General features: G+C 37.9%; 1 protein-coding gene across 1 annotated transcript in view, besides 4 other annotated features; it reads right to left on the bottom strand.

Annotated features, from left to right (window-relative positions):
- The window catches only part of MEIS1 (Meis homeobox 1), a 138,745-nt gene that overhangs the window by 49,930 nt on the left and 71,510 nt on the right, over positions 1 to 17,305 (bottom strand). Inside the window, exon 8 of the mRNA NM_002398.3 lies at positions 11,646 to 11,791. Within this exon, the coding sequence (NP_002389.1) occupies positions 11,646 to 11,791 (146 nt within the window). The remainder of the gene's footprint in view (positions 1 to 11,645; positions 11,792 to 17,305) is intronic.
- Positions 31 to 2,817: an enhancer, noted in NCBI's record as "E7 enhancer". NCBI's record gives its function as "enhancer in posterior lateral mesoderm" and the evidence as "EXISTENCE:transgenic organism evidence [ECO:0001131][PMID:24022755]".
- Positions 13,485 to 16,748: an enhancer, noted in NCBI's record as "E6 enhancer". NCBI's record gives its function as "enhancer in anterior lateral mesoderm, heart" and the evidence as "EXISTENCE:transgenic organism evidence [ECO:0001131][PMID:24022755]".
- Positions 14,822 to 16,349: an enhancer, noted in NCBI's record as "HHc2:066628". NCBI's record gives its function as "enhancer in forebrain, hindbrain, eye, neural tube" and the evidence as "EXISTENCE:transgenic organism evidence [ECO:0001131][PMID:22448256]".
- Positions 15,744 to 16,687: an enhancer, noted in NCBI's record as "OCT4-NANOG-H3K27ac-H3K4me1 hESC enhancer chr2:66734385-66735328 (GRCh37/hg19 assembly coordinates)". NCBI's record gives its function as "activates a minimal SCP1, AML or CMV promoter by ChIP-STARR-seq in naive and primed H9 embryonic stem cells {active_cell/tissue: H9 hESC(naive and primed)}" and the evidence as "EXISTENCE:reporter gene assay evidence [ECO:0000049][PMID:30033119]".

The raw sequence follows: 17,305 nt of genomic DNA, 5'->3' as shown, positions 1-17,305 counted from the left end.
CATGAAATTGGTAATGAATTTTTAGAAATAGGAACAACGAGTGGAAAACTTAACATTCTGAGGGGCTACCAAATAAGGTCTGCCTTCTCATTTTCAGAGGCTAACACCTACCACTTAGGACATCAGAATAGCTCCACAATTCCACACGCTATGACAGTCAACCTACGTGACATGTTACCCATGTTAGTTCAAATGTAAAATACAGCATTTGTAGCCCTGGAGATTAACTGAATTATAATGCCACATTTGAATGCTACTTTACAGATTTTTTCCAAAGGCTCTGAGCATCTACTCCTTAATTAAATTTAATTTGGTTTCCACATAGAGTGCTGTTGAGCATATTCACTTCAACATACACGTCAGCTCAAAATACATCATCTTCACCTTCCAACTACAGCGTTATGAAGATGTTTCCTTGTGGGAACATTCAAAACTGATTTATGGTGCTATTGCAACAACTAAGCAACTAATCTTCCAGTATAAATGTAACACATAAGAACAACCTAACTGAAACATATAAATTCCACATATACTTAAAAATATTATTGTCTGTAATTTAATATAGGAGAATGTTTCTAAGCCTACAACCTTGCATGCAGAAGCAGTTTTTCAAGCATTAATACTTAAATGGGTCATAGACACCACATCTGTCATTCTGTCCTGAAGTCTATGAGGCAAAACCAAGACTATGCTGGCCTATTGATTTTTCTAGCATTTGCTTTAATTTACTTAACCATTGAGAAATCCATCAGTACATAAACGGCAACTGTCCATTACTGCCTCATTTGCAGACATTCTTTCCCCTCGTTTTTGGTAAATATTTCCCTTAAATTGCTATGTGTTTACAGTGTAAAAACGAATTAGGAAACTGCTCACACCTGTTTCTGTTCAGTAACTGCTGCACTGAGGTATATGTAACATGCTTAAAGATAGAATAAATATCTAGACATTATTACATCTGTGTGCAAAGGGTGGTAAATTAGATCCTAATTACATTAACAGGGATTCTGCCTCCCAGCTTAAATTTTACATGAGCACTCTGCAAAAATCCAAAAGCTCTGCTGTGGTTTCTTTATGAGCTGGTGATTACAGCTACTTCCTATGCGGTCACTAAATATTCTGTTTACAAATAAATGAAGAAGCTTTGAGCCGACTTGCCAGAGTAATAATCTATTTTTTTCTCCCCCTCCCTCTTCCCAACAAACCCTCGCCACATATGCATGGCAACAGTCAGAAGCCCTGGCTTCATCTAATTACTCCATCACATAATTTCACAAATTGCCTTTTCACTGGGGAGCCAAGTGCAAAACATGCTCACAGTGGGATTTCAGGCAGCAGCTTTCATTTACTACTCATTCCTTGTTCAATTAAACACGAAAACACCAGTTGTGTGAAAGAAGTCAAAAAGAATGCCTGCCAATGAGCCAGACACGTATATCTCCTATTTACCATTTCATCAAATACATTGTTGGCAACAGGCATCTCCAACAGGAGGATCCCCTCGCCTGGCCCACTGTTGTCTCAATGGAGCTGCCACAATAGAACCATAACCAAATGGCTAAGAGCAAAGGGGCTTATCTAAAAAGTAAACTTCCTCATCTATCAATAGGAAACATGGGCACGTAGTAACAGATTTGATATTCTCAAGCCCCTCCATTCTTTACCCTTTCTGCTCTATGACATGCCTGCCATGATCCTCACATAAGAACCTGTATTTGTATTAGATAAATGATGCTAAGCCCTTTGATGGTACAAATGGCATGCCATATTTCTGTTCTGGCTAGAAAGAAGGAACCAAATTCCACTAATCTTTAAAATTTCTCCAACGGAAAGATCATTAATCAAGTTCGTACAGTATTAGGCGTTTTCCTTTAAACTATTAATGCCTTGCATGTTTCTGAAACACACAAAGATAAATGCCCACCCATCGCATTACGGATGTGGGTGGAAGAAAAATATTGTACGATGGGTGACATTACTAGAGGGAGTGAACCTGAGGTGACACTCCTGGAAGCTGACATTTTTATATCAACAACTAAACACAGCCACTGGTAATTAAAGGTATTGCTTTGTAGCTCAGGAGCCAGCGGGGTCAGGTACCATTTTACATCACAAGCCAGTCCTTTCTGCATGTAGATTTGCCAGCATTATACGCACAGGGAGAAGGAGACATTAGCAGCAGCTGTCTCTCTGCTTTTACACTGAAAATTCTATTCATACAGACAGGTGGAGTAATTTAAAAGCCAATGTGGTACAATTTCTATGTGACTAATGTCACTGCCTACTAAAATGCCACCATTACCACTGTTTATGGAAACATTACTAAAATTACATTTTATTCATAAGAATTTTAGGATTCTGGTTATTACTAGCTTTAAAATGATCAGACCTCGGTGTCATACCCCAGAGTGGCAGCTTAATTCTCCTGGGTTTAGCAGCCTTCTTTGCTGAGAAACGACAGTTGGATTGTAGTTTCAAGAGTAATCGGGGCTGCATAAGCAGTTTCCTCTATCTCCATAAAGAAAATTAAAGACTTAGCTCTTTGGCGTCCAGGCCACGTGACAGGCAAAAAAAAAAAATCTTCAAGGAGCTAAATTCTGTGTTAGAAGGTTTAGTTAGGATCTGCATGAGGAAAGATTCTTCACCCCCCAAAGCACTATCACAGACATTGTTGGTAACAGACATGGGTAGAGAATTACATATTTCTGTAAGGAAGGAGGAGCAGTTAAATAATGTTGAAAATCTGAAATTCCAAAAACGCAAAAATTATCAAGATTGTCACAAAATATCAACAGATGTAGCTTTCTTTGCCTTTTTTATGGGCAGATATCTGCAGAAAAAGATTCCAGATAGGGAAGGACCATTCTTGACCCTTAGTTACTAATAACCATCAGATTGCATTATGAAGTTTTATGCCAAGCCCTCTGGCTTATATTTTTATTTTTTAAAAATACTAATTAGCTAGCTTGTGGAATGAGATTATAATTATATCTTTGAACTCCCACAACGCGATTTGATTTGCTGTGTGTTTGAGAGGCAGCGTGGTGGAAAGCAGATGGAAATTCAAGTCAGGAGATCCTGGTTCAAGCTCAGCCAGTTCCTCGCTTTTGATCTTGAGAAAAATCATTAACTTCTCTAAATTTCATTTTTGTCATGCTGCCCACCTTACAGGATTGTCTTATGCATCCAGTGTATAGGAAAATATTAAACAATAAAGCACTACATACATACATATTACATTTTTATTTAGCATTACAATAAATTTTTTTCCTTCAGCTGTTGAAAGGATAGAATAATCCAATGTCAAAATAGCCAAGCAATTAATAGCTGAATTTTTAAAAATATAATAAAAGTCACATTATGCAGGCAGGAGAATATTTTATTTTATTTTTTCAACGAATTCATTTTGTGAAGTTCTTCCCCCTTGAAGTTGGGAAACTGGCTTTTCTTTTTTTTTTTGAGACGGAGTCTTTCTCTGTCACCCAGGCTGGAGTGCAGTAGCCCAATCTTGGCTCACTGCAAGCTCCACCTCCCGGGTTCAAGCCATTCTCCTGCCTCAGCCTCCTGAGTAGCTGGGACTATAGGTGCCTACCACCAAGCCCGGCTAATTTTTTTTTTTTTTTATTTTTAGTAGAGACGGGGTTTCACTGGGTTAGCCAGGATGGTCTCGATCTCCTGACCTCAGGATCCGCCCACCTCGGCCTCCCAAAGTGCTGGGATTACAGACATGAGCCACCGCGCCCGGCCAACTGGCTTTTCTTTAAATAATAGATAAGAATTTTTTCTAAACTTCTATAAACTGCAACAGAAATGACCTTGATCTTTCATAGGATGAGTGTTCATGTTGGAAAAAAAAACTATACCTGCTGGTCTCTGGACATCCCAAAAACTTCCCAGGATACCAAATTCTCAGGGTAATCTATGCCACGTGGCAAATGACAGCACTTGGGTACTGCAGGGATGCTAGCAACAAAGGTAATTGTGGAAACAGATAAAAACTGACCATAGATTATTAAGAAATGAAATGCAAAGACAACTACAAGGTTAAATTAATATATACCACCCCATTTTTTAAGAGATCATGCCAACAGGACATTCAAATTCAAGCAGTTACCAAGACCTATTTCAGAATATTTCTAAAAACATAAAACCAAGTCATTTCTGTCTCATTTAAATACCAACTAATTTAGGATGTTGGCCTTCATAACATCAAGTTATTTAAGGTCTACCTTTTCTTTAGATAGAGGAATACATTTCATCTTGGGACCCGTGCTCACTGGCCTATAATTTGCTGAGTGAAGGCGTTTTGCAATGGCAATGAAAAACAAGGACTAAAAAGCCTTTAAAATGTTAGAAGGTTGCGTAGCATAACCCTTTCATCTACTGCTTACTCCTGGAGGCTCTCCACTGGCCCACCAAGAAAGAGATGCCTTATCTGAGTTCTTGAGCGCACTCTCTGGCTCTTGACACACTGAAGTGACTATCAAGTCCACAGAGGCTAGCCAAGTTGCCCACACTCCGGACTCTGCACAAGGAAGGGTGAGCAATACTGAAGTGAAAGTGCTCACACATCAGGAGCAATCATTTTGATGTGGATCTACACAATCCCTATCATTACTGCCTTGGAGCGTCAATCAAATATTTTTTTTGCTACCACATGGCTTTCAATCTATCAAAGGTAAGCTTGGGTCATGGCCCAGAGTGTTTTGTGAGCTGAGCAACAGACCATTGCAACGTGGTCTTGGTTGCAATGTGCAAGTACTCCACTACTTGGTTGCCCTCTGTCATGGACCTACATCAGTACAAGAAGAAAAATTAGAACCTTGGACAAGGCTACTTAGGGGATTAAAAGATGTAAAATGGATCAGTTTTCCCTACTAAAATTCATAGATGGCAGGGGTAGGGACATACATGAGCAGATAGTTATACTCACACTTTAGCATGAGAGACAGATATGATGTGGATGTTACCAGTTCAGTCCTAGGATCCTAAATTCCACGACATGTAGATTTACTACTACTGGCAAAACCACCAACCAACAAAAACAAAACAATCCAAAACACTGGAATCTTTTATAAAATAAATCTATCTGATTTTCCTGTGGTCAAACCTTCATATTTTAAGACAAGGTATCTTCATTAGGAATCTTAAACATGAAGAAAGAAAGAACCAAACTAGCATAAAATTCCTAGGGGTTGGATTGAGTTCGTTAAAAAAATATACACACACTCACATGTATACTTGTGGTACTCCAATTTTAATCGGAAAGATAAATTGAGGTGCATGCTCAGTGACCAAGTTTGATATTTTATCTTTAAAAATATATCATCACTAATTAAAATAAAAAGAAGACATGATATTGATACACACTTTGAAGTACAAATGGCTGGCTAGTGTTCAGTTAGGTGTATCAGTAACAACCTAACAAATTGTAAAAAGTCCATGGGCACTTTTGTTTTACACATAATCCTTTATTTAATCAGCCCAATTAAGAATATATCAGAAAACCAAACTATCGTGTATCTGTATCTTAACCTTGGGAAAAAAAGAAAATTTTTAGAATGATCTGACAAATTGCCAGCCAGACTCTACAAAAGTCTCTTATAGTGAAACAACCATTGGTGAAATGAATAAACCACTTATTTCACTGCACACAAAAATTGCACTCATACTCTGACAGTAACATAGAGTCTCAGACAGAGGTCGTGTGCTCAGAAGGGCTATATACCTGGATAAATAAGCAATTTTAAAGTTGGACTTTTGATTTTGCTTTCGATTGTTTTCCCCCATGCCTCCGCATCAACTGACTGTAATTACCCCAGGTCAGAGGTGCATAACTACAAGTGGGGAAGAAAGGCCCAGGCAAGGGGAAGGAGGTACAGAGAAGGCTGGGAGAAAGCTTTGCCAGGTCACTAATGGCCTCTGGGGCAACAATGTGGAGAACAGGCTGATGCTTCTCCTTTGATCTTCTAATTCACAATGATCATTAGTATTAACTCCGATTCTTCTGGGTGAAGAATTCCAGCTGTAGCCTTTTCAGTTTACCTGACCTAAGAAAATTCATCACCCATCCCATTAGGATTTCAATAACCAGCTAAGAAAAAGAAAAAGGCAGTTGCCCCAGAATCTGGAAACCACCCGCTTCATTATTAAAACAGAGTTTATATGATGTATATCACAGAAAAATTAGAGCATTCCAATATTCCCCTCAAGTAATTAAATAATCGACTCCATTTCCCTCCCCAGACTGATGATTCCCACTTGAGTGAAAAATAGTCAGGGTCCTTATCTAGTCAAAGTTGAAATACGCTATCTACAAAGTAGCAGAGATCTTTTAAAACTCAGATAAAGGATTTTGTCATCCAAGCCTGGGTTAGTTTCAGCAAAGCCTAGCTTTGGTCAGAGGTGAAGGTGAATGGCAGTTACATGTAAGGGAAAAAGTAAAAACTATGAAAATATTCTTCTTATGTATGTAAAAGAGCTAATTTTTGATAGGGTACATGGACATCTGCAAGGAAAAAAAAATCTTCTCGCACCTTCATACTAGTTTTCAAGGCTCTTAATTTAATGATCTGTCTGCAGATAACAGGTAGTGAAGAAGGAATCAAAGTTACCTGCTATCTCCACAAGCCACTTCCCTTGTCTCAGGCACATGACAATTAAGGTAGATTAGGACTAGTTTGAAGAAGAAACTGCCTTTCTCAAATACCCTGATGAACAGTTTGGGCAAGAATGTGAGAATATAGTTGTCCTTCCCCACCACCTTCTCAGGACTCCCCCTAGATCTTTCAGGATAGGTTGTTGAAGGATGCTGGCTGGTAAGGCTTAAAAGGAATATTCACTGTTCAAACTGGCAGAGTACAGAGGTGGGCAATAAAAAGAAATAGAAATGGGAGGAGAGGAGAAAATTTCATCTACTACCTGCCCATGTGCCTACCTGTAAGTCCTTCTATCTTTTCCTAACTTTGATCAACAGAATGGATTATCCAGATACCAATTAGATGTACTTTTTCATTGTAATAATTCATAATGTTTACAGAATAATTCTTCCAAAATGGCAAGGAGGGATACGACACTAAGATGACTCCAACAGATCTTGTTACTAAAAACGAAACCAATGAAACAACATCTGTCTCTTCTAGAGCATTCAATTCCCAATTCAATTCCATTTACTCCGTCCTTAGAGTGGCGGACCCGCAGGGCACTTTTCATCTAATAGTGTTACTATGGAAACGCTATTCTCAACCTGGAAGATTCTACAACCTCTCGCATTGGCTTTATCCACAATGAGAGGGAAGTCTTATAAATCAGAAATCAAGACATAAATTTGGCCGCACACACACACACACACACACACACACAAATTTTCCAGGCTAGAAGTGCACACATACACAAAAAAGAAAGAAAGAAAGAAGAAAGAAAATGAAACAAAAACACTTGGCACATAAGTGTGTCTAACTTAGAAGCAAAGTTTGTCCCTGTAGTAAGGCTTAACCAAATGGGATCCTCAGGATGGTGAATGGATGGGGAGTAGGAGAGAGTGTGAATGAAAATCAGTTCACCATCAGAATCACCATTCCGACTGGTCAATGCTGGATATTGACCCGTGAATGCTTGCTTCACCTGAATCTGTAGGTATGCTTTCTACCTCCCTCCCTTATCCCTAACTTTCAGTATTCCTGGAAGCACGGGAGCTCCATGCAGGAAAATATAGTCACTGCATATTTTAAATAAGAACCACATTAAGCGCTTTTCTATTTAGATTATACTTTAGACTGCAATATGATAGGATAGGAAAACAAAAAAGAAAAGAGACCCTTGATTTTTACCTTAAACGTGGCATGCATTCTTTTTCTTCATTTTCACTAAGCCTTTGGACACATATCTTTGTAATACTATGCAGCAAAAGAACTGATAACATGCAAAACACATCCAGCTTAAGCACTATGATGTCACAGGCTATGTTTACAGTTGGAATAATGCCTTCAAGAAGGAAAAAGAAACCTTGATATGACATATGCCCCTGAACTGATTGTGAATACACAGTGACTCATATGCAAATATTAAGCACGTTTTAATTGTTTGCAATAATTCATCTTCAGGCAAATGTAAGAATTCCTATTAATAAATGCCTTTATTTTCTTTCTAATTCTCTCTTATTATTTAAATCATGTCAGTCATTCCTTTCAATTCCAGGGAATAGTTTCTTTTAAGAGACCCTCTCTACTTATCGACTCTGCCAAATGCTCAACTAAGTATAAGCTGGGAATTTACCTCACTGAAATTTCTTCTTACCCCATAATCACCAAAGTTTAAAACTCGTTTCCTTTTTCTTTTATTATTTTCATTATATACAAGTATGTCCAGTTTAGCTTGCTAGAGACTGTGAGCCCAAGAGTGAGGCTTTAGTTCTCTCTTTGGAGTAGTAAAATGTGCTACTGATTAAGTCTACCTGTGGATAACTACAGACTGCCACATTTTTCTTCTCATGTAGCTGGGGTACAAATTCAGAAAGTTGGTTTTTGTTTTGTTTTGGTTTTTAATTCAGGGCCTATTCTACTCTTCTAACACAGAAATGCTTTAAAGCCTTTTCAAGGGCAGATTTTTTCACTGAATAAACCCAGTGAAAGGATTGATCCATTTATTTTAAAAAGAAATAGCAATTTGCTTTTAAAAGGTGTGAGAGGTTTTCGAATATGTCTTTTGACATTTAAAAAAAGACTAGTTTACAGTTTACTAATAAATTGGTATTGCTATTGTTTTAATTAGCCAGAATTTCAATGGCTTTTTTACATCTAGCAAGAATTCAGAAAGGATTTCCTAGATAAGTTGCATTAATCACATAGCAATGACGTGACCATTTAAAATTTGTACAGTCTTCCTAATGAATTGTGCATCCCTGAAGACCTCCCAGAACTTGAAATAAAGTCACTAAAGAATTAGTACTGAGATGTCAGTGGTTACTTACATTTAGACAAACAACAACAAAACTCTCTTTAGATTCTATAGGTTTTTAAAATAGAATTTATTAAAATTAGCTCCTTACTATAAATATTACCTAAGCAGTCCATGCATTCCTTCAAGAAGGATTACAAAACAAGGGTAACGGGTGTTCCTTATAGCTGGAGGTCTATTTGCTCTTGCAATTAGAGAAGTGGGAAGGAATCTTTTTCATTGGGGGAAGGAAAAGATGAAAAATTTAAACATATCTCTTAACTTTGCTCTTCAGATGATGTTATAAGAACAATTAGCTATCTACAGACCATTATCATTAATCAATATTTCTGTATGAGCAGATGGCATTGGAGTGGGTAATGGAGGTAGAAATATCCAATGGAAACCACAAGGTAACACCTATAAACATTCACAGAAAGCTGGGGAAACATGGATGAATGGGCTTCCCCTTCCAGGGCAGTGGCACAGGCCAGCAAAGACCTCAAAACTGAAGACTATTATTTAGGTCTCAAGAAATCAGGCAGTTCATGAATAATTTCGATTACAATTGCCCCAGTAACAAACACATAGTCCATATAAGCAATGCAATGCATGTAAAATCATGCGGGCTGTTAGAAAGTTTATTTGGGTTTTTTGTTTGTTTGTTTGTTTCAAGAAGATAATGTAGCTCTATGCAAGGGTCTTCACAAGGGTACAACCTAGAAAAACAGGAAAACTAGTGGCTGCATAAAATAGCTTGCTTCTCTCTCTCCTGATTCTGTCTGAACCAATATTTGATTATATTTTATTCAGGGGCACCTCAGCTTCAAGTAAAGCCAAAACTCCTTTGCAGATTGAGATGGGGGCTGAAGAAATCTATTCATTGTTTCTGTTAGTCTATAGGAAATAGAAATTATTTGATTGTGACTTCAGGGCCAACCTGATTTTATCCACCACACCAACTCATTCCACACAGCGAGTTAGCTGGTTATTTCTGGAGATAAAATATTAGCATCATTGCATCAGCATCATTGTACCACACCTTTGACCAATTGCCACTTCTTATCTAAATGTCATATCATTCGTTTTTCATGATATGCCCTCAAGACCTGAGTCCTCTTTCCCCTAGTTCATTAGTGATTGATAATCCTCAGTGGGGAATTTGCAGGAGTCAGATATTGAAATATCTACACACATGCAACAGGTGTCAGATAAGTAGTGGTGCCTGAATCAGATTCTAGGTAAACCTAATATGATGTTAAAATCAAAACAGCTCAAATAATCTAAATCTCCAACTAATTTCCAGCATAGCCAAGCCCTGAAGTTTACTCAAAAACTGTAGTGTAGTCTAGATACTGTTTGGAATTATTATGGGAAGAAGAGAAGGGAGGAAACTTTTTTTTTTTTTTAGCTATTCCTGCTGCTCTCAGCTTTTATCTTATTCACTGATGCTGGAAAATCTGGATTAATTTATACCCTTGAGTATTATTAGAGGCACAGCCTCTATCCAGAGGAGCAGAACTAACATGACCTGCAGACATCCCCTGAGTTTGTATCTCTGTACCCGTAAAACTCACTGAGGAACATGGCTTTGAATGTGGGCCCAGGTATGAAGGTAAACAGGCTCTGCAAGTGTTTATGACAATGCAAGATTAACTTTAATATTTAAGGAAAAATTGACTTTAGGAAAAGCAAGCTAAGACAAAAATAGTAACACAAAATATTTTCTCCTGATATTAAAAAACAACCCTCAAGAGTTTTTAACATTTATCCATCTATGTAACTTTGCTACAACCTGTCTAAATTCATCCTTTGTCTCTAATATTGAAATTCCTCTGGTCAACAATTTTGTTGATTTTTAAAATATTATTTTATCCACAAATCTTCATTGTATCTTCTTCTTTAAATTGGTATGCACTTACAAAAATATCCACCAAAATATTATTATTATAAATATTTTGAACATGAAATTCATTCAGAACAATAACCAAACAAAACAAATCCCCCAGTGGCATAAAGCCCCAAATCTCCAGTTTCTCACATCTCCAGGAGAATTCCTGCAGTGAAAACAGCAATACTGGCACAGACAATATAAACTGTTACTCTGCTTGAAAAGTCACAAGGGACTACACAGGAAGAGCTGACTCTATATTGCTGTTTTCCTTTACAGTTCTAAATACAGGGACAACTTTCACTGTGGAGCTCTGACTTACATGAATGTTTTGTAATGGAAGCCAGTGCATTCAAACCACTTAAAAGCAAATTATGTGATCATCTTGCCATTGCAACATGATTTAAATTTTTGTGGACCATTTGTTGTAAAGATCCACTAAAGCATCAGAAGATATTAAGTCTCTCTCTAGGGTTTGTCTAACTTTCTTCTTAGTAGGAGATGGTTCTGAGCACTTAAGGGTCACACTTAGAAAAGCAACATCATTAAAACACATACTTAAAATCACAAGTGCACATGAACACCTAAATCTTTTAACTTATGAAAGTTAACAAAATCGCAATCGTGAATTTTAAATAAAATTTCTCATTTGGGGTATCTATCTAAGAAATAAGTGCTAATACTTTTGCAAAAACTGTGGGAACACAGTTATTTATTAAATATTTCAAGTCCAGAGGGATCACTTTTTTCTCATTTTTTTGTATAAAAACTGGTTCATTGTCCATATTTAGTTTATATATGTCATTTAGAATCCACTTACTGTTAGATGCTGGAACAGCCACGCCCTCATGATATTTGTGGCTACTTTGGGAAAGATGCCACGCTTTTTGTGACGCTTTTTGTCCTTATCAGGGTCATCATCGTCACCTGTGCTGGGGGAAGCTACACTGTTGTCCAAGCCATCACCTGCAAACATAGCGAATCAAATTTTGACTGATGCTACCTTGACATGCTTTATTCAAATAGAATGCCTTTGGATATAAACAAAACCAAAAGAGCAAATTTAAATGATTAATAGTTTCTTTGGTACTGTTTTTTTGTTGTGTTTTGTTTTCCAAGACAGAGAAAGAACAAGGCCTAGGCTCAAGAGCAGTCAGGTCTAAAGAACTTCTTCCAAAGAACATTGCCAAAAGTCAAAGGGAATGGAGGGAAATATCCAATCCCCTTGTGGCTTTGTTGCTATGGTAATTATTCCAATATGTATAGCTGAGACAGGTTAAGTGTAACTCCTACCGGGGAGTTAAACATGGTGGCAGTCATTAGCTGTGGCGCTATGGCTGCCTGGGCATTCAAATCCCACAGTCATTGACATTGACTTGTGAGAAGATTCATTTAAGATATCAACTATTTCCACAAGTGATCTATCTTAAGACTAGTTAAACTAGGATGGGGAAATGTAGGTAATCCATCATATAAGCAGTTTGACATAGGAATGCTTCAAATAAAATATAATTTTTCTTGTAATAGAGAGAAAGCATCAAGTTTAGTAAAGGAAAAACCCCTGACATAGTTTCTTAATTAAAAAACAATTACTGTGTAAATCAAATAAGGTAATGCTAAATTAATAGTAAATTAGAATTGTATTACACTAATAATTCAGGCAGTTTCTAAAATTCATGCTAGGTAAACCTAGCATTTTTCACACTGAAAAATCACCTGCTAACATATTCCTCTATATTGGATCCTATTTTTCTATTGATTTTTATTATAACATTTACACTCTTTATTCTAGAAAATATTTTGGCTCTGTGACATAATGAAATTTAAAAAGTTAGTATTTCTTTTTTAAAATGCCATGTTTAATAAGAAAAAATAAAAATTTAACCCATATAACTGTTCAAAATAAGTTACAAGGTACAAATGGAAAGTAGGTATTTTTTGCCTTGGCATCAAAGTCAAAAAGGAAAACAACAAAGGACAAGACCCATTACACTAAAAAGTAGCTTAGCTCGGTCAACCGTTCTCTTAGAAACCGACAGGTTGATCTGGGCCCAAACGGAAGAGCTATAGCAGCCAGGCTTAGAAATGAGGTAAAAAAAAAATACACCCAAGAGCACATTCACTGGGTTAAATAAGCCACTGGAGAGCCAACTACACGACCCAAAGAACCTGAAACTTTGGTAAGACAAGTTTCCTGCACATAGCCTCAGGTTCATTTCCATGGCTTCATGAATTTCTGTATTTCTCATTTCTGTTATTAGGTCCTACATAAAAAAATAATTCTCTAGTTCAATTTCAGTTATTTCTGTCTAATCTATAGTAGGTATGTTGCAACTAATCAACTGTTTTTAACAGCTCCCTCAGCAGACCCATCTCTCTCCTGTGAAAAAAAGAAAAGAAAAGCATTCCTCAATTTTTTTTTTTCAATTGCCTTAACTTGTACTGAGATGAAGTTTAGAAAGTTTGTTGGGTGAGGAACAAACTAATTCCAACATTTCTACTATTATTACAGAATATGCTATAAATGCAAAACTTTTGCAAAACTTTTCTGATTCTAAACTTTTATTCATTAAAAATCTGTAATTTTATTATATTTAAAATCTATCTGTTTCATTAAAAGTTTAACAGAAACATATCTTGTGTTCACTTGGAAAAGATCATGAAAACCCACCACTCCAAAGCCATTGTTGTATCAGTGAAGAAAATGCTATGTTCTCTGACTGGGCCAAGGTCATGTACCCTGGCATGGAACTACTGGGGTCTGTGCTGTTCCAGACCCCTACATCTGTAAATCAGCACTCCTTCCACCCAACCAAACTCTTTATTTGCATAACCAAGTATTTTATGAGAAGTCCCCTTGGATTTGCCTAATAAATTCTTTGAAAGTCCAGTATTTAAACAGCCTTTTTATTCAGAGAAGCAGTTTACCATATAAAATAACAATTCATTAAAGAAACATGAGAAAAGAAAACAACTCAACAGCATTTAAATTTTCAATGGGCTAATCCACTTTCAATATGCAAAAGGTAACCAAGGAAAAGACACATACGACCTGATCATTGATTAAAAATGAAAAGCTTATAACCTTACAATACTGTTTTCACCACCTCCCCATGATTATTTTCCACCTTTAAAAAAAATAGCCTTTTTATCCACCTCAAACCCCTTCAGATTAATTTAGCAAGCAATGCATAGTGCCTGCCTAGAAGAGAATTCATTGATAATTTATGGAAATATCTACTATAATCCAGCAGAGATGACTTTTTTCCAGCTTTGTGCATCAATAGATAATCAAGGCCTTAAAGCAACCTTAGCTTCCCATTACCTCAGGCAAAAGAATTCCTGAAAGCGTGCCTTGAGGGCACCTGAATTATATACTCCATTAGGAGAGGAAGGCTTTCTGCATTCCATGTGTAACACTCACCAGAACCTTTCCTGTTTATTTCTGCTGTATGAAAGCAGAAGCATTAGGAACAGAATTTTTTAAGTGAAGACTTATGTAGATACAATGGAGAAACCTTTCAAGCAGGAGCCAGATCACCCCCTTCAGTCCCTGGCAGTGACCTCTCCTGAATAAAAGGTTTCTATTACATCATTAGCTCAAGCCAAAAACAGCCTTGGCTTAATGCACAGTTTGTTCTTCCTACTGTTTTTAGGCAAATACAGCTACTTTACTCCCATCTGGGAGGGAAATTACACTGCTGGGTTGTAATCTAAGACAAGATTTTCATTGGAAGCAAATGCTTTCAATCCAGTGTAAATACTGGTGCATGTTCAGAAAAGCCTAAAACAATAAACCCTGCTCCTTTCCGACACAAGTTAGGGAAATGGAGAAGATGGGGAAGGAGAAGAGCATAATAAAACAGACTATTCTAAAAGCAAACACTTTCATAGATTTTAATAAATTGTTTAACCTCTTCCACTTTCTAAAATTGAAAATTGATCTGGAAATGTCTCAACCTCAGAGGAAAGTCTAAATGGTCAATTGTACCTTTAGCATTTCCATTCACTCCGCAATTTGATATAGTCACCTCAATGTGGTCTCTCGAGAATTTCTTTCCTTTTTTACTTTTGAGATCACTAAACAAACTTGGAGAACCGCCGGCCGACCACACGGCAGCAGGCAGCAGCTCTGAACCACATTTGTAAAATGTCAGCAGTGACTTCATTCCTGGAGCTGACTTCTCCTGCCGCCAAATGAAGGCAAACTGAAAAGGTGGAAATAATCATAAAAATGATGCTAGTCCATAAACAAGCTTACAGCCTCATTAGGATAGCAGTAGGCTCCAGTGGGTGATTTATGCTCGTTTTGCTGATGCTATGAGGAAATGCCATAGGGCGACTTTAGCCAACCGCTAATGGTTTCTGACAGCTTCTTAGCAACTAGTGCAAGCAACGTTGTGGCGTTTGCTAGTGACAGAAACTGAAAATGTCATATTATCTGCCCATGTGTCATGAAGTCCGTGTGGCAATTAACTAGCAGGCCAGTGACTGAGGGGCCAGAGGCTCCTGAAAATGGCCTTTGGCTATGCAGAGGCAGCGGCCGGGGCTGCGCACACACAGGCCGCACATATGCAACATTCTAATGCAGAAATCCTCTCCCTGCAACTTCCTGGGCTCTGATGAGACCGGGCCACTCCAGTCTCTTTTTTCCCCCTCATTGAAGTGAAACTCTGGGTTCCTCTCTCTCTAGGCACAGGCTCGGGCATTATAAGACTCTAAAGCAATCTGCTTTGATACGATTATCGGAATGGCTCCTTAATTGGCAATACCTGGTTCTGTGCCTCTTGGATGCTGGACTCAAAGGTGCTAGCTACAGTACTTTGCTACTCTCTCACAAATTAGTCTAAAAGGATTTAAGATCACTGGAGCAGACTCATTGCCTGTCAGATTTCAAGGAGCAGAGGAACTCTGCACAGCAACAAGACACTATTTAAAAAAACACCAGGTTTCTAACGAGCAGGGGGAGAATCTTGGCCACACTTTTCAGTTTCCGAGCTATCAAAACCATGCACTATATGTCAAACTGTCAAACCTTTCAGCGTGGGCCATTTGCCCTTTCAAATAATATTTAAGAATTGTTTTTACAAAATTTTATAGGCCATGGTCTAGTGAAAGAGGCCAACCAACAAAGAAAGGAATTTGTACTACAATTCGTCTACGGACAATTTCTTGTGAGACCTGGGCCTGTCCCTACGGAGCAAGGCAGGTGACCTGTGGCAGCTCCCAGGCTGTCAGAGAGCTCAGATTTCAAACACTCTCAACTCAAACATCCCGAGTCGCCTATTTAAGCATGCCCAGGCATTTAGACTGTGCTATCTCGTGCCTTTCAAGGCAGGATAAAGCGGCATTTATCGTATTCAGGCCATTCAATGGGTCAGACTGACCGTGTCAGCAGGGGCTCCTCTCCGGCAGGTCAAAGCCTTGCTTCCATTTTTTTTCTCTCCCTACTAACTCCTGTCCTCTCAGGACTGCTGTTCCCCTAAACCTACTCAGAGTGAAGCAACAACAAAACCCAAAACAGCTCCTAAGATTTACATCACAACTGATCAGAACTTCCTGTGTCAGTGGGCCATCAGGTAAAAATAAAATAGGTTTTCTATTAGAGGGCTCTTTATGTCATAGAAGCAAAACTCCTAATTAAGGAGATGAACTTTCAACTGCCAGGGCAAATGAACGTGTAAGGTTGTGGACCCCCTTGTTTTTCTAGAAGCCAAGCTGGAAGCCACAGTGACTTCAAGATCATTTTCATTTACAATTTTGTATTGAGACTCCACAGTTTTGGGCCATATCCTCTCTTTAAACTTTACTTTTCTCCTCTTCCAGTGTTTAGGAACAGTGTTTAATCCCAAAACGTACCTAGACTCAAAAATCAGGCCATTTATAGTTGTATCTCTTGATACTGCATAAATTCGATTGTGCCTAAAAAGTTTTCCAAATGGTCCATTCAAAAGTATGCTTATGAATGTATAGTTCCTGTTGTAAGATGGCTACATTTTCATGCAAATAGGATATTGTTGCATGATCTTATTGTCAGCAAAAAGAAAGCCCAACATGAAGGTTTCTTTTTTCTCTTGCATGTTTCTCCCATAGAGTATCTACATGAGGGAAAATGGCATCTCACCCCTTGAAAAGTGTGTAGAACATCCTGCCTTGCTAGTGGCTGCTGACACAAACACCCCATCAATATGGAAAGGCTGGGTTTCCTTTACAGTGGCCTCTCTGGGTGTGCCTGATGTCCAGGGTTATTAGGAAAAATGTAACAACTACCCCAAACCTATTTCTCCAGGTCATGGTTAAGTCTAGTTAGCCAGAATTCAGGTGGGATAATGTTTCTATGGTATGTTAAGAGGATATATGGCAAGAATTATAGACATCCCTTCTTCAGGAACCAGCTGGAATACTTCAGAGGTCTTAAGGAGATGTTTTATCTTCATTTAGAATATATAATAGCTGCCAGAATGATTTTTCTAAAGCATA

The sequence above is a fragment of the Homo sapiens genome, chromosome 2, assembly GCF_000001405.40.
Source record: "Homo sapiens chromosome 2, GRCh38.p14 Primary Assembly".
In the NCBI taxonomy this organism is placed as follows: Eukaryota; Metazoa; Chordata; class Mammalia; order Primates; family Hominidae; genus Homo; species Homo sapiens.
The sequence above is the reverse complement of the archived record's forward strand: the minus strand, read 5'-3'. Positions and strand labels throughout refer to the sequence as shown.